Genomic DNA, 23,259 nt, shown 5'->3' on the forward strand with positions numbered 1-23,259 from the left:
AGTGTAACCAGATTTTGTCAATCTTTTTCTTTCTGTTCAGTGCTTTTGCTGTTCTGTTTAAGTCTTATGTCCACCCTAATATCATAAAGTCATTCTCCTAAATGTCATTCTAGGTGTACTATTGTTTTCCCTTTCATGTATACAGTAAAATCTGACTGGAATTAATTTTTATATATGGATCAAGTTTCTTTTTTGTTTGTTTTTTCATATGGACACCCACGTGCTCCAGTCCATTTTTGAAGAGATCACACTTTTCCTCATTGAATTATTTTTAGAATCTCATTTCTTCCTCTGTTTTATCAGAAGTTATCTATTCTGTTACTATTCTTTTTAAAGTCAAAAAATAACAGATAATGGTGAGGTTGCAAAGAAAAAGGAACGCCTATCCACTTTTGGTGGGAAAGTAAACTGGTTCAGCCATTGTGTTCAGAGAACACAAAGCAGAACTATCATTCATCCCAGCAATCCCAGTATTGGGTATATACCCTGAACAATACAAATTGTTCTGCCACAAAGACACATGTACATGTATGTTCATGGCAGCAGTTCTCACAATAGCAAAGATATGGAATCAACCTAAATGCCCATCAACAGTGGACAGGATAAAGAAAATGTGGTACATATACACCATGGAATAATACTACGCAGTCATGAAAAAGAATGAGATCATGTCCTTTGCAGCAACCATGGATGGAGCTGGAGGTCATCATGCTAAGTAAACTAACACAGGAACAGAAAACCAAATACCACATATTCTCACTTAAAAGTGGTAGCTAAACATTGAGTACACATGGACATAATGAATGAAAAAGCACACACCAAAGCCTGCTTGAGTGTGGAGGGAGGAAGGAGGGTGAGAATTTAAAACTACATAGGGTACTATGCTTATTACCTGGGTGGTGAAATAAACTGTACACCACGCCCCTGTGACATGCAATTTACCTATGTAACAAACCTGCACCTAAACCTAAAATAAAACTTCACAACTTGCAATCTTGACTAATCAAAGACACTGAAACATTTTAACTCCACTTTTTTATTCTTTTCCCAACTTATATATTATCATTTTTATGTTATGTATACTTGAAGCTCATGTAGACATTACTATTGTTGTTGTATATAGTCAATGTTAATTTACATGGATCCACATTTTTCCATTTTTATTATTCGTATTCCTTTATCTCTGTTCTTCTATCTAGGATCATCTTTACTAGTATTTATTTTAGTGCAATGACATCCCTAAAAAATGTTCTCATTTTTCATTTGTCTGAAAGCATTTTTCATTTTATTTTTCTTCTGGAAGGACACATTCACTGAGTATAAAATTCTAAGTTGGCTATTTTTTTTCCATTGTCTTCTGGTGAGCATTGTTACTATTCAGAAATCAGCCCTCAGTCTAATTGCTGCTTCTTTGAAAGTAATCTTGGCCTATTTTAAAGATTATTTTATTGGTTTTTCTACAGTTTAACTATTATGTGCCAATACATGCAATTATTTTTATTTAGCCTACTTAGCATTAGCATTTCCAGGGCTTCTTTCCCTGCTCCTTAATATTCTTTGTCAATTTTAGAAAATTCTGTCATTATCTCATCAACATTGTCTGTAGTCATTCTCTGCCTCTTCACCTCTGGGACTCCAGTTGGCCACATACGAGGTTTTCTCATTGTATCCCCTACATGTCTTATGCTCCCTTTTGTTTTTCTCCCTCCTTTTGTCTCTCTTTACTTCTTTCTGGATACATTCCTATCTTCTAATTCAGCAATTCTTTCCTCTGCTCTGCAGATCAACTGTTAAACCCATCCATTGAGTCCTTAATTTCTCTTACTGTATTTTCAATTCTAGAATATCCAACTGAGTCTTGTTTTATCATTTCTAGTTCTCTGCAATATTTTAATTATTGTCTTTTAAATCTTTCAACATAAAAAGTAAAATTATAGTCATTATAAAGTCTATTTTGATATCTTCACTATTTGAAGCCCATATATACCTGTTCTGTTTTTGTTTTCTCTTGTTTGCTTTCATGTTGTCTTATAATATCTGGCTATGTTTTATTAGGTTTCTGATATTATATTTGCAAAATTTTTATAAAAAATAACTTCAATACTAGGATAATGTTACAATGTCATCTTTTCCAAAAATTATTTCCACTTACTTCTGCCAGGTACAAGCCATTCAGGATCACCTCATTCTGACTTCATAAACTGTGATATTCAAATCTGAACTGAAGTCCCTATGAGGACCTATCTATTTCAGGCTGACTATTCTCCCAGGATGCAGCCCTTCAGAATCCCAACCCAAAGTGAATAGGGGAATTATCAAGACCCCAGCTTGATAGGCCCACAATCATAATTCCTGCTCATAGCTCTGCAAGGCTGTCAAAAATGCCAGTTAGCCTCCTGGGCTCTCACCCCTCTTCCACAATCAGCAAATGCTCCCAGGGAAAAAAGGCACCAAACATTTGGCTCACTTTCCTGGCCCAGTGATTCTTTACTTTCTAGAAAGCTAGCCTCTGCTTTTAATCTGAAATATACACACTGAAAATACACAATTATCTCCATGTCAAAAGGTCATTAAACCATCTTCATGCAAAATGAGGAATATTCAAGATAATTCTGGCAAAAACATAAACAATTTTCAACGTCAACTCCCCTTCCTGTTATCCTTCCCAAGCTCACCAAAAATAATGGTCTCCCTCACAGTTACCAAGAAATGGGCATGGTTGTATTGAGATACATCAGGCGCTACTGATAATAACTGTCCTAAGACAATAGGAGGCGAAAGGATATTAGTCAATCTGTCTGCAACTTGGTAGAAAGCATTTTATTTTTACATTTTTACCCTCTCTCACATAGTTTTTCTTTAGCCTTTAAACCCAGTGCCCAACCTCTTGTCAACATTATGACCGAAGCTGTTTAAGCTGATAAACTGTCATGCTCTCCTGGAGCCACTGGCTGACTAATGGGCTCTGGGAGCTACAAGAGGGCTCAAGGGTCCCTGCCTCCCTTGGCTACAAGGCTGTCACTAGCATCATAAAAAACAGCAGCTGAGTATTAATTCACTGTGGTTGTTGCTTGTGAATACCTCAATGCCCATCTCCTTCAGGAGTTTAAAACCTCTTTTACTCACCAGGAATTCCCAAAACATGCCCCTATGATTTGAGGTTAGATTAAAAATGTAGTTTGGTGCAAAAAAAGGAAGCTATACCCATTTTTTGGTATATGGCATAATACTATATATCTGTTCTGATGATGTAGAAAAATCCAAATTCAGTTTCTCCTACTATACTCTCACAACACACTGCTAACTCTGGGTGTGTGTGGGGCTTTTCCCCACACATAATGAAGGTGAGCTCAGAATAATAAAATAATTTTCCCAGAGTTACACATTCACTAACTAATTATGTCTGAATTAAAATCTAAGTATTTTTACTTCATCATGCTTGCTCTTAAAAGAGTAAAACATTAGAGCATCCCCTTGAGAGAATAAAGACAAGAGTTCTGAAAAATCCAAATTCTATGAATTATTTATCCTTCTGATAGATATTTTGGTGAACAGGTGAGAATCTACACCATTCCATCCTATTCCAAGAGGCACTTAGGATCAAGTAAGAAACAATGAGCAAGGAATAGAATTATCTGTGATCCATAGGTAAGATTAGGACTGTATATTCAGCACCAGTTTATGTAGAGTGGATATTAAACAGATAGAAGCTTACCCTGAAAGGGGCTAAAAAAAAAGTGGGGGCGTGGAGGAGGGGAATATGCCCTGAAATTTGGCATTTGACATCCCATAATTAGCATCTTAAATTTGAGATATTTCTTAGACATTTGCTGAAACTGCCTGTAGACCATAGATTCAGAAACACTTTGTGACTGACAAAGTTTAGTCACTCCTTACCAAAGTTGAATCTGGGACAGCTGAAGAGGGCACCTTTGTGTATAAGTAAAAGAAAGAATGTGCCAGAAAGAAGCTGATACTGAGCATCAAGAAGAAAAGCGGGGGAAGGAACCTAGTGCTTTTCAATTGCCAAGACAGAGGGCCATGGTGAAGATTCAAGGTCAGATTAGATATCAGCCTCACTTTAGGACTAATTGGATACATCAGAATCCTAGGGATTCCATGGTTTAAGCTCTCTGGATATTGTCTAATCCCAAAGCGCCGAGAAGATTCTATCTCCTTAGTCAATTTCCTAGGTCTTTCAAGTTTCTTCTCTACTCCAAATCAAGCAGAAGTGCCATAATAGATATGAGATCTGTGGGCAAATACAGGAAAGGAAAATCTCTCTGTAGTGGGACCTTTGTCTCAATACTGAAAGAAACAGTCATGCATAGCAGTGTGAATTCTGTTTTCCTTTTCACTACTAAATACTTGGAACGGTCCACTTGCCAAAATCAAGCAGATACTAGAAGTTCAAACTAAACAAGTCTAAGGTAAATGTTGTAGGATCCACTTTTTAAAAAAGTGACAGTAAAGAGCATGAAGTCTCAAAAGGAGTGGGAAGAAATGAAGTCTCAATTTACTTTCTCGACTCACCTGTTTATCACTAATGTTCAAAAAATTCAAAAGTTCAAAATATATTTGTGAATCCAAGGCTACCAGCTGGGGAACTATACATTCTTTGAACATTTGAGCTATGTCCCATTCTCAAGCATAGAATGCAAAGTCTGGTACATTATATATGCTTAATAAATATGTGCACAATATTCATTGTTTGGGAACACTAGAAAAAGTTCCATTGACTTTGGAACTAATAATATTTATGTTTCACATGAGCAATGTTTTTTTTTCCATTTTTGGTTTTTGTTTGTTTGTTTGTTTACTTCATGGACATTGTAGACTAGGACCTGGTTACTAAGGAGTTTTTACAGTACATGTGTGGCCCACCTCTATGATGGTACAGTCTTTACTGAAAGGCTTTTTAGCCACATTCTCAATTCATTTCATCACCCATCTGTGTTTTTTTCTGTTTCGCTATACATTCTATATTGTTTATGTTTTTGTCACCTATATATAACATGCTACATGGTATATTGGAGCCAACAAATATCGCACGGATTTTATCAAATTTCTAACCCCATTTCAAGAATAAGACAATTCCCTCTTTATAAAAAGGCAAATGAAGAACACACCTTTCCCTTGAAGTGATCTGAGAAATGGATAGCTCCCTTCCTACCATCACAAGGAAAAGGAGGCTGACAGTGAGGTTATTCAGCCAAAAACACTTTCTTACTGCCTCCTCCCTTCCCCACATCTTTTATTTTTAAGATGAAGGCATGTCACTCTTCGCTTCACACAAGCCTAGTGAGGCATGTCTGAAAAAAAGCCCAACAGGTAATTCTCAAAACTTCTGTCCATCATGACAATAAAAATAACTGTTCTGAAAGATTCTGGAAGAGAGGCTAAGGAAAAAAAAATTTAGTCAGTTCCCCAAAAATTGGAGAGAAGATGAAATTGCTGGACCTTCATTGCCCATGTAAGGGAAAGGATGATCAGAAGACATTGACAGGACCCAAGGTTTTTCAGCTGGGAAAGGAAAGAGCATGATCATGGGTCCATCCCTGTGGTTTTCAGTACTAAAGAGAAGTTTCTGTCTGTCAAGAATCTAAGGATTGGGAAAAGCAGTAAGATTTTATTAACAAAACTCAGTATTAAGAGAGATGTAAGTCTAAATCTTCCACTGAATGGCTGCTTCAGAGGTTTGATAGATTTATATAGTCACATGTTAAAGCACAAAAGAAAGAATGACCTATAGCCATGGTAAAATATTAACATATTTTTTATCAGTACTAAAATATATTGTATATATAAAATTATTACTCATATATTCTTTCTGTTAAATATCATACAGAGTCTAAAAGCTAAATCTTCCCGTTCCCACACCTCCCACCAAAAAAGAGAGATCTAAAAATGATGGATGTTTATTTTTTCTATCTAAATTACATTTTCCAACTAAGTGTATATCTCACTTAGTAAAGTTTTGTTTATTGAAATGCATTCTATGTATTCAAAACCAAAGACATAAAAATACCCTCTGAACACATGATAAAATCATAAGATAACTAAATCTTCACTCTAAATTCACACCTGCCTAAGAAACATACTCATGGCTATCATTTGAGCCACAGAAACAAAAACCTAGGCTCCTAGTGTAGAATTCAGCACAATGCAAATCTCCTAAGACAAAAAGGCAAGGGACATGAGATGACAGCCATTAAACAGGACTGCTTCTGTGAAAACCATGCAGCTAGTAATTTTCTCGTCTTAGAGATTTCATAGTTTATTATGTGATGCTTGATTGACGACTTTTAGATGATCATGTGGACAAATGTGAAATTCCAATAGAAAAACATGTTAATGAAAATTTATTGAGGCTTTATGCATATTCATCACTTAATCCTCACAAAAAAAACCCTGCCATGAAGGCTCTATTAACCCCATTATATAGTTTCAAAAAAATTGATTCTGAGAGGCCACATAACTTGCCTACAGTCACACAGTAACCAGATCTCCTGAGCACAAGTTAGGAGCTTGTTATACTACTCATATATTCATGATCACCAAAGGACTTATCAATAATAAAAGTACATGACTGATTGACAAATAGTAGAATTTTCATTTTCAGGGACAGTTAATGGTCTAGTGACAGCTGGTTTATATGTATGTTGAAAAATGACAAGATGAGAAAGAGCTAAAAACACCAGGGCAGAGGACCTTTTCTCCACTGGTATCTGTCTGTTGCTCATATGTGTACCATTGGCCCTGAGGTCCCACAATCAATCAAGTATGGACCATGCCTCATCCATCCAGCCCACATGCATGCAATGAAAGCCCAATGGCTTTCAACTTTAATTACCAGCTCCTGTATTACAGTTCTGCCAGATGTTCTCAGTGGTAGTTTATATGAAGAATCTTACCTAGTGACAGAATTATTGCCATTTGTCTGACAAATGTTTCTTTAAAAATCTATATTTTTAAGCTGAATCAATTCACAAAAGCATAAGAAAAGGAAAAACTTCACTTTCAATGGAATGCCATTTTTACTGAGATCATTTCAATAACTTAGCACTGTTCACCACTGAAATTGCTACTATAAACTATCTTGGCACAAAAATATACAGATACCTGAAGCATTCATAATCTAAATTGGCTTGGTTTAAATTCAACCAGAAATGGTTTGTCTGTTATTTTTTAAATGCTTTGGTTCAAAAAACATTTCTAAAAATGTTAAAGAAATGATCAGGGCATCTTTGAAGATGTCCATTTTTGAAGGACAAAAATAAAGGTATTCCCACACTGCCTTACACCCTTTTGATCCAGAGGCATCTAACTGGTAGGAAATTTGCTTCATGGCAGTCAAAGTCCAGTTTTCATACTAAATTATAACTGATTGAAAAATTCTGCTTTCTTGGTGATAACTTTCACCCCCTTAATGCCTTGCTAGTACCAGGGGATTCTCTGCTCTACTCACCTATACAAATGTATTCACATTTATTCTTAGCTGGTTAAATTTTAAGGTGTCAACCAGACCTTGCTACAAGAACAGCACATTAAACGTGGTTTACGATAAATGCCAGCATGCTCATCCTCCATTCTTAACTAATCAAAGAAACTTCCTGCTGTTTATAGTCAAATAATTCAATGACTACAGCTCAGCAAAAAAAAAAAAAAAGCAAGGTGCCTGTGTGCCCACTGATAAAGTCATGGGAAAGAGTAATTCAAATATATTTCATTAGCCAAAACTCTTTGTTTTTTAAATACTTTGTTCCTGGGAAATCTACTGGTCTAAATTTTTCTGAAATTTCAGGCTTCTACCCCAAAACCTATATCAATGTACCTCAAAGTTCACCCGCTTCCTTATCTGTGTCTCTGCATATAGTCATGGAGGTTGTGCATTGCACAGAGGTACCAATCACATTGTAAAAGTCATATATGTGAATATTTATAGTTACAATGCAAAAATTGGTAAATGACAGTAAGACGTGAGTTTTATAAAAAAAATAAGTTTATTAGGATAATTTTCCAACTGAAAATTATAATGTTTTGAAGAAGGAGCACAGTGTTTCAACTCACACTAAAACACTGTATAGATAAGCAGTGATTCTGTCAGAAACCAATTTAATTCTGATAAATCAGATAAGTTAATCATTTGATTACATAAGGGGCAGGACAGTAAAAAGTCTATTGAGAGGTTCTTACCAATAGAGAAGAGAGTTAACCAAAAACCCAAACATCTCCCAGAAAAGTGATTTAAATCACTTTTTTCCAAACTTAAAAAAAAAAACCCTCATTATTATATCAGTTTTGTCATGGCACATTTATAAACCAAGGAAAATAAGTCACAGAGATTTCCTCAGAGATAGCTTTTTTAATTAAAAATGTGTCCAACTATATCTAACATAAAATAAAAAGAAAAACTACAAAAAAGTGATTTAATTCCATCTGTATCTAGATAAGAAAGAGGAGAAAGGGAAGTGTGAACAGGAAGAGGAACAGAGAGAAAGATTTAAAGCCAGGTGGGGGTTGAGGGAAGGGCAAGGAAGGAGGAGATACAAAAGAAAACAAAATCCAAAGATACAAGTGTGTATTAATCTGTTTTCACACTGCTAGAAAGAACAACTGAGACTGGGTAATTTATAAAAGAAAAAGGTTTAGTTGACTCATGGTTCTGCATGGCTGGGGAGGCATCAGGAAGCTTACAATCATGATGGAAGGCAAAGGGGAAGCAAGGCATGTCTTTTCATACTGGCAGGAGAGACAGCATGAGGGCCAGGGGGCTGCCAGACACTTTTAAACCATCACATCTCATGAGAACTCACTCATTATCATGAGAACAGCATGGGGAAGCCACCTCCATGATCCAGTCACCTCCCACCAGGTCCTTCCCTGACACGTGGAAATTACGATTTGAGATGAGACTTGGGTGGAGACACAGAGCCAAACCATATCATTCTGCCCCGGCTCTTCCCAAATCTCATGTCCTTTATACATTTCAAAACCAATCATGCCTTCCCAACAGTCCCCCAAAGTCTTAAATCATTCCAGCATTAACTCAAAATTCCAAGTCCAAAGTCTCATCTGAGATAAGGTAAATCCCTTCCGCCTATAAGCCTGTAAAATCAAAAGCAAGTTAGTTACTTCCAAGATACAATGGGGGTACAGGCAATGGGTAAATAGACCCATTCCAAATGGGAGAAATTGGCTAAAACAAAGGGACCACAGGCCCCATACAAGTCCAAAACCTGGACAGGCAGTCATTAAATCTTAAAGTTCCAAAATAATCTCCTTTGACTCCATGTCTCACATTCGGGGCACACTGATGCAAGAGATGGGTTCCCAAGGCCTTGGGCAGCTTCACCCTGTGGTGTGGTTCTGCAGGATACAGCCCCTGCAGTTGCTTTCCCGGGCTGGCTCTGAGTGCCTGCAGCTTTTCTAGGCACACAGTGCAAGCTGTCGGTGGATCTATCCTTCTGGGGTCTGAAGGACAGCGGCCCTCTTCTCACAGCTCCACTAGGCAGTGCCCCAGTGGGGATTCTGTGTGGGAACTCCAACCCCATATTTCCCTTCTGCATTGCCCTAGCAGAGGTTCTCCATGAGGTCTCCACCCCTACATCAGAATTCTGCCTGGACACCCAGGCATTTCTATCTATCCTCTGAAATCTAGGTGGAAGTTCCAAAACCTTAACTCTTTTGCACACCTGCAGTCCCAACAACACCTGGAAGCTGCCAAGGCTTGGGGCTTGCACCCTCTGAAGCAATGGCCTGAGCTGTACATTGACCCCTTATAGCCACAGCTGGAGCAGCTGGAAAACAGGGCACCAAGTCTCAAGGCTGCACAGAGCAGCAGGGCCCTAGGCCATTTTTCCCTCCAATGCCTCCAGGCCTGTGATGGGAAGAGCTGCTACAAAAATCCCTGACATACCTAGAGACATTTTCCCCATTGTGTTGGCTATTAACATTCAGCTCCTCCTTACTTATGCCAATTTCTGCAGGAAGCTTGAATTTCTCCCCAGAAAATGGGTTTTTCTTTTCTACCAACATGGTCAGGCTGCACATTTTCCAAATTTTTATGCTTTTAAACATAAGCTCCAATTTCAAATCATCTCTTTGTGAATGCATGTAACTGCACATTTCAAGAAAAGCCAGGTCACCTCTTGAATGCTTTGCTGGTTAGAAATTTCTTCTGTCAGATATCCTAATTCATTTCTCTCAAGTTCAAAGTTCCACATATTTCTATGGCAGGGACAAAATGCTGCTAATCTCTTTGCTAAAGCATGGTAAGTGCAACCTTTGCTCCAGTTCCCAGTAAGTTACTCATCTCCATCTGAAACTACCTCATTCCAGACTTCTTTCTCCATATCACTATCATCATTTTGCTCAAAACCATTCAACAAATCTCTAGGAAGTTCCAAATTATCCTTCATCTTCCTGTCCTCTTCTGAGTGCTCCAAACTGTTCCAACTTCTGCCTGTTACCCAGTTCCAAAGTGGCTTCCACATTTTCAAGTTATCTTTATAGCAATTCCCCACTGGCCTGGTACCAATTCTCTGTATTAGCCTATTTTCACACTGTTATAAAGATACTACCTGAGACTGGGTAATTTATAAATGAAAAAGGTTTAATTAACTCACAGTTCCACATGGATGGGAAGGCCTCAGGGAACTTACAGTCATGGCAGAAAATGAAGGAGAAGCAAGGCACATCTTCTCATGGTGGCAAGCAAGAGAGAGAACATGAGAGAAGAACTGTCAAACAGTTTTAAACCATCAAATCTCATGAGAACTTACTCACTGTCATAAGAAAAGCATGGGGGAAACTGCCCCCATGATCCAATCACCTCCCACCAGGTCCCTCTCCTGATACATGGTATTACAATTCAAGTGAGATTTGGGTGGAGACACAGAGCCAAACCATATCAAAGTGTGTAGAAATACAGAGCGGAGAGACATGTAAAAGAGGTAGCCAAAGAAAAGAGAGGTGAAAAGATCAAAAGAAAGGTAGCATAAGTTCTCAGGTGAGTGGTGATTAAAGAACTGTTTTATTCTTCCTTGGCTTATAGGAAAAGCTGTTTTATTTTTCCTTGGCTTATAGGAAAAGCTACTTTGGCACACTAAATGGGTCTGACCCACTCATCTCAGCTCTTTATTCAATATTCCTACATATTACAGATTTCTTTTTCAGTAATTCAACAGAAGTGTAGCTGTTTTTTTATGACAGTTGCAAAGTAACCAAATAAAATGAAGCCAAGATAAAAAGATAAGAGTATACTACTTTCCCTGAGAGAACTGGTAAGTTTTTATGTTATGTGGACAGATGTGGACAGACAAAATGATGGCAGAGTTGACATTCTGATTCCATAAAGAAGTATGTTCAATAGAAAATAATTAAAACCTACCATACCTAGCTATGGCAAAAAGAATCCTGGGAATCATTTAATTTATTTTACGCATGCAACATGGAATGATTAAATCAAGCTAATTAACATATCTATCATTTTATTTCAATCAATAAATAATATATGGGTGAGCAATCAAGGGACATCTTGGTCAGATACCTTAAAACATTGTTTTAATCAATGTGTTATTTATTAGGGTTTCCAAAGGCACCAGTTTGAATATGAAAAGAATAACCACCATGGTTATTTCACAGATCACTAATTTGGACACAATACTCCACCCCCTCCTAGAGTCTCAAACACACATAGTATCTTCTAGTAACAGTTTATCTTATTCTCCACAGTGCTCCTATATACCTAAATGTGGAAAAAATTTTGAAGAATCCATGTCCCTGGTGAATGTTGTCATGGAAAACTTCAGGAAGTATCAACACTTCTCCTGCTATTCTGACCCAGAAGGAAACCAGAAGAGTGTTATCCTAACAAAACTCTACAGTTCCAACGTGCTGTTCCATTCACTCTTCTGGCCAACCTGTATGATGGCTGGGGGTGTGGCAATTGTTGCCATGGTGAAACTTACACAGTACCTCTCCCTACTATGTGAGAGGATCCAACGGATCAATAGATAAATGCAAAAATGGATAAAATAATTTTTGTTAAAGCTCAAATACTGTTTTCTTTCATTCTTCACCAAAGAACCTTAAGTTTGTAACGTGCAGTCTGTTATGAGTTCCCTAATATATTCTTATATGTAGAGCAATAATGCAAAAGCTGTTCTATATGCAAACATGATGTCTTTATTATTCAGGAGAATAAATAACTGTTTTGTGTTGGTTGGTGGTTTTCATAATCTTATTTCTGTACTGGAACTAGTACTTTCTTCTCTCATTCCGCCAAAACAGGGCTCAGTTATTCATTTGCCAAGCTTCGTGGAGGAATGTAGGTGACATCAATGTGATAAAGTCTGTGTTCTGAGTTGTCAGATCTCTTGAAGACAATATTTTTCATCACTTATTGTTTACTAAAGCTACAGCCAAAAATATTTTTTTTTCTTATTCTAAACTGAGCCCTATAGCAAGTGAAGGGACCAGATTTCCTAATTAAAGGAAGTTAGGTACTTTTCTTGTATTTTTTACCATATCACTGTAAAGAAGAGGGGAAACCCAGCCAGCTACTTTTTTTCATCACTTTTTATTCATAACTTCAGATTTGTAAAACTAATTTCCAAAATATAAGCTGTTTTCATTAGCCAGTTCTATAATATCTTCCTGTGATTTATGTAGAAAATGAACACACCCCTTTTCCATTTAAGACCCTGCTACTGTGTGAAGAGATGATACTTACAAGGAGTGTCATTACCTGTGAGCTGACTGAATGTTGGTAGGTGCTCCATTACAATCCAGGAAAGTCTGTGTTACTGATATTTGTGTGGAAATCTTTATTTCACTTCAATTTAACCATTAGATGGTAAAATTAAGATGCTACTTGTTGGTAAAAATTGGTGGACTGGTTTCAATGGGTAAATGTGTTGTGGCAAATTAATGTGTTGGAATATTGCTCTTTGTGAATTTGTGCTTAAGTCAATGAATGTGTAGTATCTCCTTCTGACAAGCATTCCCTATTGGGATTTTAAAGCTATGTGCACAGAATATTAGTCTCTTCTACATGTTTTATTTTTCTATTTATAATTCCCTTTTTTGTTGTTATATTTTATACACAGAATAGATCTTTTTTCTAACACATATTTGAACTGAATAACAGACTTAAAGAAAGCCTTTGTTCACATTGCTATTTACTTTTGTGTTTGGGGGAAAATACGAGGGATTGATTTTAAATAAAAAACATTCCATCTTTCATTTAATATCAATATCAAAAGAAGAAGACAAACATCTATCTTTCTCATCTATATTTAAGTACCTTTTTGTAATGTAGTATCAAAGTTTTTTAGGTAATGCAAAATTTTACAAATCATTTGTGGAATGAATGGTAAAACTAATCTGATGAAATGGAAAATTATTCTGCAATATTGTAATTCATAGTTTGACTTTTCATAAGCAAATAAATCCCTAGGATGTAATCAGGACTTCAAATGTGTAATTAAATTTTTTTAAAAAAAATCTATTAAATTGCAAGATTTGAATACTTCTTGCATTCTGAGCTGACAAGCCCATGGTAGTCCAAAAATTTGTATTTCAATACCTTTAAAAATATTTTGAGTGATTACAAAGAAAGTTTCTTTTTTTAACACCCAAACACATACACATAATGCTGTGACCATTTGAAAAATAGGATGAAAAACTCTTTTATTTCTACTCTACTTTAAAACATATAATTCTGAAGATACTAAAGAAATATTTGAGACTATAGAGCTGAAAATGTGCTGTCTTTAATGTTCCTTAGGCTTCCCTTCGAGTGATCCAAGGGTGAAATATATGTGAGTGAAATTATCAGATGGGTTACTTTATTTTTACTTAATTCTGAATTTTCATTAAAAATTCCCAAATAATGTTTAAGATAACAATGTAGAAATTTTTAAATAATGACACCAAAAAGAGATTAACTGCTGCCTTCTAGAATCCCAACATAGCAACAGCCCCTTCAAGAAATTTAGATATATATACAATTAATGCTCATTATTAAAAGAGAAAGATCTGGGACTAATAATGTTTTAAATGCTTTGCACATGTTAACTAATTTCATTATTTAACAACTCTGTTGGGCGAGGTATTATTATTATCTCATCCTACAGATGAGAATGTTGAAGCTCAGAGATGTTAAATAATTTCCCCAAGGCTATGCACATACTAAGATGGTGAAGAGCTAAGAAAACAGTCTGTAGTTTTCCTGCTATGGTGACCATTTCCATGACTTTGGCATCTTTTAGATAACACAGGGGGATTCTGAGGCTTGGAAAAGATTACAGGAGTGAAGAAAAAGCATTGAACTGGAAGTCAAAGACTTCATTGGAGATACGGTGACTAGATGACTTTAAAGTTCTCAATTAGTCTTTTGACTTCTTTGACTGTAAAATTAGGAGGTGAAGTCAGCTGATCATCAAGGTCCCTTTTAACACGAACATTCCATCCTAGGTATGTGGAAAGAGGAATGAATACCATTTGCTAACCTTCAGAGCACAGGTCTGATTCTCAAACAGAATCTGTATATATTAATCTATGGATTGAAAAACAGCTTTTCTATTGATATTCCTAGTAAGTCTTTCATTTTTAAGCCCTAAAGCTATATTTCCATCTGCTAGAAGCAGAGCTCTGATCTCCATATGATTCATCAAGAATGACTTCCCTAAATGGTATAAACGTCTACACTTCCAAATCACTTTCATTATCCAATTGGCACACCCCATCTAAAACTTAATTGATTTCAGATTCTCTGAGTTGCAATTGTATTAAAACCCAGGAATGGTAAATGCACCAATGATTGCTTGCAAATAGCTATAATAAATATATGATTCTGTAGAAAGCTACTGGCAAAACACTAGCTGACACTGGTAATAACAGTGTAGGCAATCATAAAATACCTCTTATGTAGACCACGTGACATGTAGAGTTCCAGCAGGCTACCGTTTCCCATTGCTGTGAATGACCATGTTGGCCATGCTGTGAATGCATGGCATTTATAAAGCAAATATTATTTTCAGAATGTCAAGCCATAAATTTCTTACCACATTTCTGTGGGTGAAACATCTTAACACTGTAATCATTCCACTGGCATTAAAAATGAGACCAGCAGGCTAGCAAAACAATATGAGTAATTGACTCAAGTGAGTTAAAACAATAATTTTAAAGCAATGGTTTGTTCTAATACAAGCATAGTTAAATTTCCTCCCTCCCCCACCAAAACACTGAAATGAACAATGGTTAAGTAAGTAAGGTAGTTCTCATTGTCCGTATAAGGAAGAAGGGATGATTAAAGGGTAGACACTGTTCCTTCTCTTCTTAACTTCTGCTCTTTTCTCTCTCCCTTGTAAAATAATTTAGTAAGAACAGTCACAGTTCTACAATAACCACTTCGATGTATGGATCATGTAGGAAAGTAGACTCAAGAAATAGTTTCAGGACTCCCCTGAAAAGTTTGTCAGCATGATATGCACAGCAGGACTGAAGAAATAACTTCTACGTTGAATCTGTTCCACCTTTCCATATTTGAAGTAACTGTAAGAAATAATACAAAGTATATAACCCTGCCTTATATTTTAAGAATGCCTTTGTAATCTACTAGATGGGTCAACAAACACACATGAAATTAAAAATAGAGAACAACAATTAGGTATCCACATGGGTGGGGATAATATTTACAAAGTATTGGTATGGGGCTTAAATGGCTTATGTATGTAAATATCAAGCATTGTATACAGCATATAACAGACATAATAGTAAATAACAGTAGCTATTATAATTAATAATAAATGTACAAGTCGTATTAGTATACCCACTAGTAGTATATAATCTCTTGGAGCTAGAATAGCTCTAAAATGTCATTTTGCCCAAAACGCACATCAACAAATTCCTTCTATAGATTTTAAGCAGGAATCATCTAGCAATAGGAATGGTTACTACCTGAATCCTGCCAGTGATAGGACAGGTCACCACTTAATGCTAACATGTTTTCCTCATAACAAGTTGAAGTCTGTCTCCCTGTAATATCTACCCACCAAATCTATACAATAAAATCAATACTCCTGCACTGACTTATTTTATTAGTGTTATTTTATTGAAATGAAGGAGGGGATGGGGAAGAGCAATTTCCATTTGTCTCAAACATAAGACCATGAAAAATAACCCATTCAGACAGAATTATGACATAAAGGGAAATTTATGAAGGTGGCACAAAGGACATCAGTTTTAAAAGATTAAGAATATATCCATTAGAACCCAAATATTCATGTATGAGTTAAACTGATGAACTAGCTAACTCCTTCTGATGTCTATGTTGGTTTTAATCCTGTACCACCTCTTAAGTATGATTCGGCCTTCTGAAAAGTAACATTGCTGAAACTCTGCATTATGTTCTAACTCAATCTGATGACAACCAGACTCAGATTACTTAAGAGCATAGCTGTGCTCCTAACAAAATATTACTACAGCTGCCATGGGTTTGTCTTGGCTAAGGCACTATGAATTCTGCAGTGCAATACCAAAGAATTGGAAGAAAATGTCAGTCTGTGAATTCCCGTTGTGACTTTGTGATAAGTGTTTCATTGAGGTGGAAAAAGAAGTCATTCTCTCAAACAATATAATCACTTAACTAGGGTTTCCAGAACTGCTTTTTTAACCTTAAAACAAATTTAATCTCCAAGCCCTTGCAAGTTGTAGTATGACTTGTTACCAGCATAGTATATGAAGAGACCACAGAGAAAGCTTCAAAGTCCTCTATACCCTCCACACAACTTCACCAACTAGCATATTAGCAATACTAAAAATTTCTTTAGGTAGCAGACACAACTTATCTTCATAAAATCCTCTCTCTCTCTCTCTCTCTCTCTCACTCAGATTTTTTCCTTCTTTTGATTGCACTTTTAATCACATACCAGCAAAGATAATCTCCAGCAACTACATGTTCACAAAATCCCTATTTCTATAGTTACAGAAGGAGAAAACCCCAGTATTAATATCAGTCCTCACAAAAGCCAGATCTCTTTGTATCTGCTGTCCACTACTGGGCCCACCAGTATGGCTCAGAGGATAGTAAACTCTTTGGGGCCAGACCTATAGCATGGCATTACATGCCCGCTTCTGTAATGATGGAGGCAGGGCATGTGATTATCTGCCACACTAAGTGGAAGTCAGATAATTCCTCAAAGGTCAACTGGTGTATGTAAAGAACAGAAGAAGGGATGCTGGGCAAGTAAGAACAGCAGATGTCCACTACTGGAAATGTGAAAAAAAAAACTCACGCCAGAGTCTTGTCCCAAAATCTTCTCCCAGATTTTGGTTGAAGGTCCCACATATATGGGAAGGAAAGCAAGTATTACTGAAAGCGTAAAAGAGCGAAAGAACCAGTGCTCAAAATTTACTTTGCAATTTTTACATGCATGAGTCACTCAGTAATCTCATACAATTTAAAAGGAGGGAAAAGCATTTCCGATTTTCACTAAGTGAAAGATGCAGGAATATTTTTATTTTAGCAGAAGACAAGAAGTTCCCTTAGAAAAAGATAGTAGGGGGCAACTGATATAATAAGAGTTTATAGGAAACAAAAACTAGTTTAAGAGAAAGGAAGGGAGTGATAATATGTGAGGAATCATTCAGAATTTTAAAACTCTAATTTAAGCAACCATTACTATTCATGAGATACTAAGGAATTTCTCTGCATTTTTCTTAAGGCTGTTGTCCCTTGCGTTGAGTAGTACCTATTTGGTCTAGCACAGATTCAATTGCCCTGTTACCTGCTTATTTTGGAGTAAATCAACTTTAAGGAGCATGAAGAAGATGAAGGAATGAATTCTCCTTCTCCCTACCTCTTAGTTTTTTTCTGACATCATAACATTTAAGAAAGTGAGTCCTCCTTGGACCATCCAGTGATATTTCTTATCACAGATAAATCAACAGAAAGCATTACTTACCCCACCTACCATCTGCAACACTGTGGTTATTTCAACACCTCATCATCCATGTGATAACCTCATGTAAGGTCTGCCCAAACCCATCAGCCTCCTCTAGTTGGACAATCATCAAATCTCAACCCTTTTACTTGCTGCATTAAAATTCTAGCAGTTTCTACCAGGCAGCTGCAAACCCTGACACTTAGTTCCTTCTCATGGTGAGCAAATAAAATAGGCCCTCCCCGTGCCTTCTGGAGCACGGCAGAAGTATCATTTTGGAACAATTGACAGTGTCTGTCTCTAACCAAAAGCATTCAGCTGCTGTAGCTAACATCTAGCAATACTGAGAAGAAAACAGGGAGTTCAGACTGGGGACTGATGTAAAATAGGTCCCTTCCTTTCTATCAGTTGTGACAGATGCAGAATTTGGTGCCAATTCTACATTTAGGTCCATCTCCAGAAAGTCATAATCAGCTGTGAAGTTTCAGCATTCCTAGAAAAAGTGAATGCTGTAAATATAGCTCAGGTATCTGCCAACAGAAATTCCAGGAGCCAGATCTAGGCTGGTCAGTCGGGGCCACTTGTTACGGATTGGTTTTCTGCTAACACTAACAGAGGCTTTCCCTTTTCCAATTCTCAATTTCTTTGAAAATGTCACACTATCTGGCTGAGTAAATAACCCTTTGAATACTAACAATCCTCAAGTTCACCTGGCAAACATCCAAGACTGTTTAGAAGATTTCACTTGGTATGTTTGAGAAGCCACATGTCCAAATTATCCAACGATGAAAATACACAACTGTCTCCTCTCTTAAGAAGGAAGTCTTTTAATAGTTGAGTAGCCTCAAAAACTCCTGGCATTAACCACCAAAATTGATTTGCAAAAATCCCATGGGGAACCGGAACAAAGGGACACTTTGCAAGACCAGGGAAAGCCAGCAAGTTACTCTACCTCTGATATCACTGTAGTCCAAGATCCCTGAAAAGCAGCCACTGGAAAATTAAAAGCTATCTTCATGTGGTCATTCTTGCCATTTTCATTTTTGTTTTATGGGAAGCAGTAAGTCAAACCCAGCCCAAACCCTTGCATTTGCAGGCATCAAAGCAAGCTAAAAGGAGGAGATTTCTCATTCAGCAAGGGACTGCAGAGCAGCCTTTATTAAGGAAGACTTACACTCCTAAGAAAAACTAGTAACGTTTTGCTGCTGCTGATGACTTGGATTGTGGAGGCAACTGGCCCTTCAAGTCTATTTCCCACTGTCACTTTATACCTCAGCCATTCCAGTCAAAGGCCATCCCCAATGTTCCAAATTTTCTCACACCTCTGGGCTTTTGCACTTACTGTTTCCTCTGTTTCAACCTTCTCTGATCTCCCTTCTCTCCACTTGGCTAACTCATACTCATCCTTTAAAGTTTAGCTCAAACCTCACCTGCACCAAGAGGTGATTCCTAACCTCCTGTGTCCCAGGCTAGCTGCCTATCTTCTATGTTTCACAAACACCCTGTTGCAGTGCCTCCAAACTCTTAGTTTACACTCTTAAAAATAATAATAATTATATATCCTACTGTATTCGTCTGTTTTCATGCTGCTAATAAGGGCATACTCGAGGCTGAGTAATTTATAAAGGAAAGAGATTTAATTGACTCAGTTCCAAATGGCTAGGGAGGCCTCACAATCATGGCAGAAAATGAAGCAAGAGCAAAGGGACATCTTACGCAGTGACAGGCAAGCGAGCTTGTGCAGGGGAACTCCCATTTACAAAAACATCAGCCCTCGTGACACTTATTCACTACCTCGAGAACAGTATGAGGGAAACCACCCCCACGATTCAATTATCTCCACTTGGCCCCACCCTTGATACGTGGGGATTATTACAATTCAAGGTGAGATTTGGGTGGGGATATATAATTATTATTTTTTAAGAATGTACACTAAGAGTCTGGAGATAAAGTAGAAAGATGTTCATAGCATGTTTCACAATAAAAGATTCTTAAGGCAAGTTTCATCTCTCCTAATAGTTTTTCCTAGGACCGGCCCCAGCCTTAGCTCTGCCAAATGGAATCTCATAACTAAGATCAGTTCTGGGAAGATTTAAAAGCATCCAAATCAGAGGAATGTGGATGAGGTGTCAAGAGACTAATGTGGGTTTTTATCACTTGCTCCCAGTTCCTTTCAGGGAGCAACCTCTGAGGAGGATTCCCATCCACTCCCCCAAATGGTGAAAGAAGGGATTTGGTCCCAGTGTTGAATCTCACCTAGCATGTCTGAAATCCCAGAAACTGCCTGTTAACATAGAGGCATGAGGCTGAGCAAGGAAGTGTCTGAGTTTAGAAAATTCAGAGTCACCCAAAAAGAAAACAAGAGGTACGGAGAGAGATGCAGATAAGCAGTAGAGAATGAATATATACATTAGAACCAGGGTTGTTAGCAACAGGGCTACATGCAAAAGTGCCAGAAACGGAACCCAAGTTCCTCTGTTTCTTTCCCCAGAAAAGAGTCAAGAAACGGGGCTCTGATTAAACACACACTCTACGTATATTCACACTTTTATGCGAGGATTTTCCAGCATTTATTTTAACTTCAGATTAAGGACCTAAACATGAGCTATCAATTCAGAAAGTGAAAATATTATTTATCCTTTACTTTCTCCAATTGCTAGCAAATCGGAAAAAGTACGACTATTACCTGATATATGGCTTAATGTTATTATACCGGAAACATTTTTATTCTCCTAAAAAGAAAAGATGACTGTAGATGACCAACATTTTCTTCATATGGTGAAACACTTTCTGCTCTCACAAAAATAATCTGAATACTCAGAAAGTCTGATGTGGTGGGAAAAGGGCCATAGTGTTTCAGAAGTCTGCACATACACACACACACACACACACACACACACATACACACACCTTCTGGAAGAAATGGCTTATTCAAGTTTTTCACCAGGCAGGCCACATCCACAGCCTAAATGAGTTGCAGCTGCTCTGTTCTAGACACATTGAAGAGGGTGAAAGTAGGGGACAGAAGTTTCAGAAACTGTCCCTTCTTATAAGTAAGTCATGATTGATTACTATCATAATTAAAATATAGAATAAGAAAACTCTGATGTTCAAAGAAAAGGATCAGGATAGTGATGTTTTTCTGCCTAAAAGGAAATCACTAATGATCCAGACATCAGTATAATTGACTGGAAATTAAATAAAACAGCAACAAGCTGAAAAACACATCAGGGAGTGTCATACCATAATCGGGGATCATTTTTCCCACCACCACTTAACATAAGCTTCAAGAGGTGGGAAAGCGAATTGCCAGGCCCCTTTCTGCATTCTGTGGGTTCCAGCAGCTCCTTTAATCTGTTCAGCTGAGTTCTGGCATTGACTGCCACAGGGTTGGAACGAGGACCTGACTCACTTATATGTATTTGACATTGTCAGGATTTTTTCCCCAAATAAATAAAATATGCCACAAATCATGTATTTTTTTAATGTCACAGTTTGTCACATAATAAGGCCTCTTCTGTAACATTTTTTCAAATGTCAGTGTCATTTCCTGGGCAAATAACAGAGGGAAGTAGGTTTTCTAACATCTTGGCCAAAACTGGTTGAGTTCCAAGGTGGCTCTGTGTCAGGGTCCTTTCCTGACGTGACTTATGGTACTATTTGGAGAGTGCTTTCCTCAGATCATAAAAGGTGGACAAGAAAAACCTCGGAAAGATTTGCTGTAGGCATTCAGGATGTCCACTGAATAAATGTGAATTATTACAGCCTAAAACTTAATTCTATAGAGTAAGGTTGGATGCTTAGCACATGGTCAAAAATAATGAAAAGGGAGACAACCATGGTGACAGGTGATGTAGAAATAAATGGACCGAGAAAAATGCACCAGTATTAGCTGAGCCTCTGAGAATTCACCTGCAAGGAAAGCACTCCCTTGAAAAATGGGATTATCATCTATGCCTAGGTCCAATCATTGAGTTAAATATATGTCCAGTTATCAGTAAATAAGCATAAATTACAGAAAAGAACATTACACATCATGTTATGGCATATGCCAGGTTTCTACAATACAATACAGATTATATATATAAAACATAAAGAAAAATACAATACCTTCTCTTACAAAGAAACTTTCCTAGAGAATACCTAAATCACTCAACACAGGCATGCAAACATATTTTGAGATGTCACCAGTGTGGTGGGATGGGAAGGACACTGGACTTGGAGCCAGTAGATCTAGCCTTTATCTCAGCTCTTTCCCATCTCCAGCTAAGGAAGTAAGTTTTCTAACCTCTCTCAAGTCTCAGCTTTCTCCTTTACAAGATGATGATGAAAATAATATCTTTCATCCTCATCTTAGATGATTATTATGAAAATTAAATGAGATAATATGCTTGAAAATATATACTGTCCACAGCAGCTTTTTTGCCTTTTGGAGTTTTCAAGGAACTCCATTCATGCCCAGGGCTTTAATACCTTCAAATATCAACTGACATCCCCAAATTTGTACATTCAGTTGTTGCCTCCTTAGTAAATCTCAGAGCTCTATTTTCATCTGCCTCTGGATATCTCTACCTGGATAGCCTTCAGGCACTTAAAACTTAGTATGTCCACTTGAAATAGTCCTTTTTCTAAACACAGACTCTCTCACATACCACAATCCCTGCCCCCAACATATTCCCACTACAGTTAAAGTCACTACCCTCCACCCAAATCCTCAGATTCACCCTACATATCTCAATTTCCTTCAGGTATGCACCTAACCACACCCAGTCACCATGTGCAAAGTAGCTTCACTGTAAATTGGTTATCAAATTGTCTGAATCCAGTGATACAGAACACTCACATATAAGAAGTTACTTACAACGAGGCAGCAAGGGACAAAAGAAGGCTAAGATTCATTGTAAGCTGGCCCTCCAAGGCTCAGGGCAAATGGAGTCATGACCGCATGTCCCCACTTGTGCCAAAGCTGAGGGACCCCAGAAAGCAGCCCACCCTAGATTTTATACCTTGGGGTTATGTGATTTGCTAGGCTGAAGCATTGGAAGACCTCCAGTTTCTAGGGGAGACTAGAACAGAGACTGAGCTGTTCCAGCCAGTCCCTCCTTATCCCAGGATGTTGCGTTCTCAGCACATTCTATAGTTATTCTTGAGAACTACAAGTGAGAAAGATGGAGAACTGAGTCAGTCGAAGGCCATCCACAAAACTGCCCTGCACCATGTAGCATTGATCCTATGTCCTAAGTGCCTGTCAGGTCAGCCCCTTCTTTTCTATATACACTGTTGTTCTCCTAGTTGCTGTAGCCTCAAA

The 23,259-nt window shown here is 37.5% G+C and overlaps 1 protein-coding gene and 1 long non-coding RNA gene across 6 annotated transcripts in view; one reads left to right on the forward strand and one right to left on the reverse strand.

Moving 5' to 3' along the window:
* The window catches only part of KCNMB2 (potassium calcium-activated channel subfamily M regulatory beta subunit 2), a 307,994-nt gene extending 294,481 nt beyond the window's left edge, over positions 1-13,513 (forward strand). For all 4 annotated transcript variants that reach the window (XM_011512325.3, NM_181361.3, NM_005832.5 and 1 more), the window contains one exon: positions 11,737-13,513. In XM_011512325.3, the coding sequence (XP_011510627.1) occupies positions 11,737-12,021 (285 nt within the window). In that variant the 3' untranslated portion in view covers positions 12,022-13,513. The remainder of the gene's footprint in view (positions 1-11,736) is intronic.
* Positions 1-23,259, reverse strand: part of KCNMB2-AS1 (KCNMB2 antisense RNA 1) — a 334,939-nt gene that overhangs the window by 305,450 nt on the left and 6,230 nt on the right. The window lies entirely within an intron of this gene.

Source organism: Homo sapiens, chromosome 3 (assembly GCF_000001405.40).
Source record: "Homo sapiens chromosome 3, GRCh38.p14 Primary Assembly".
Lineage (NCBI taxonomy): Eukaryota > Metazoa > Chordata > Mammalia > Primates > Hominidae > Homo > Homo sapiens.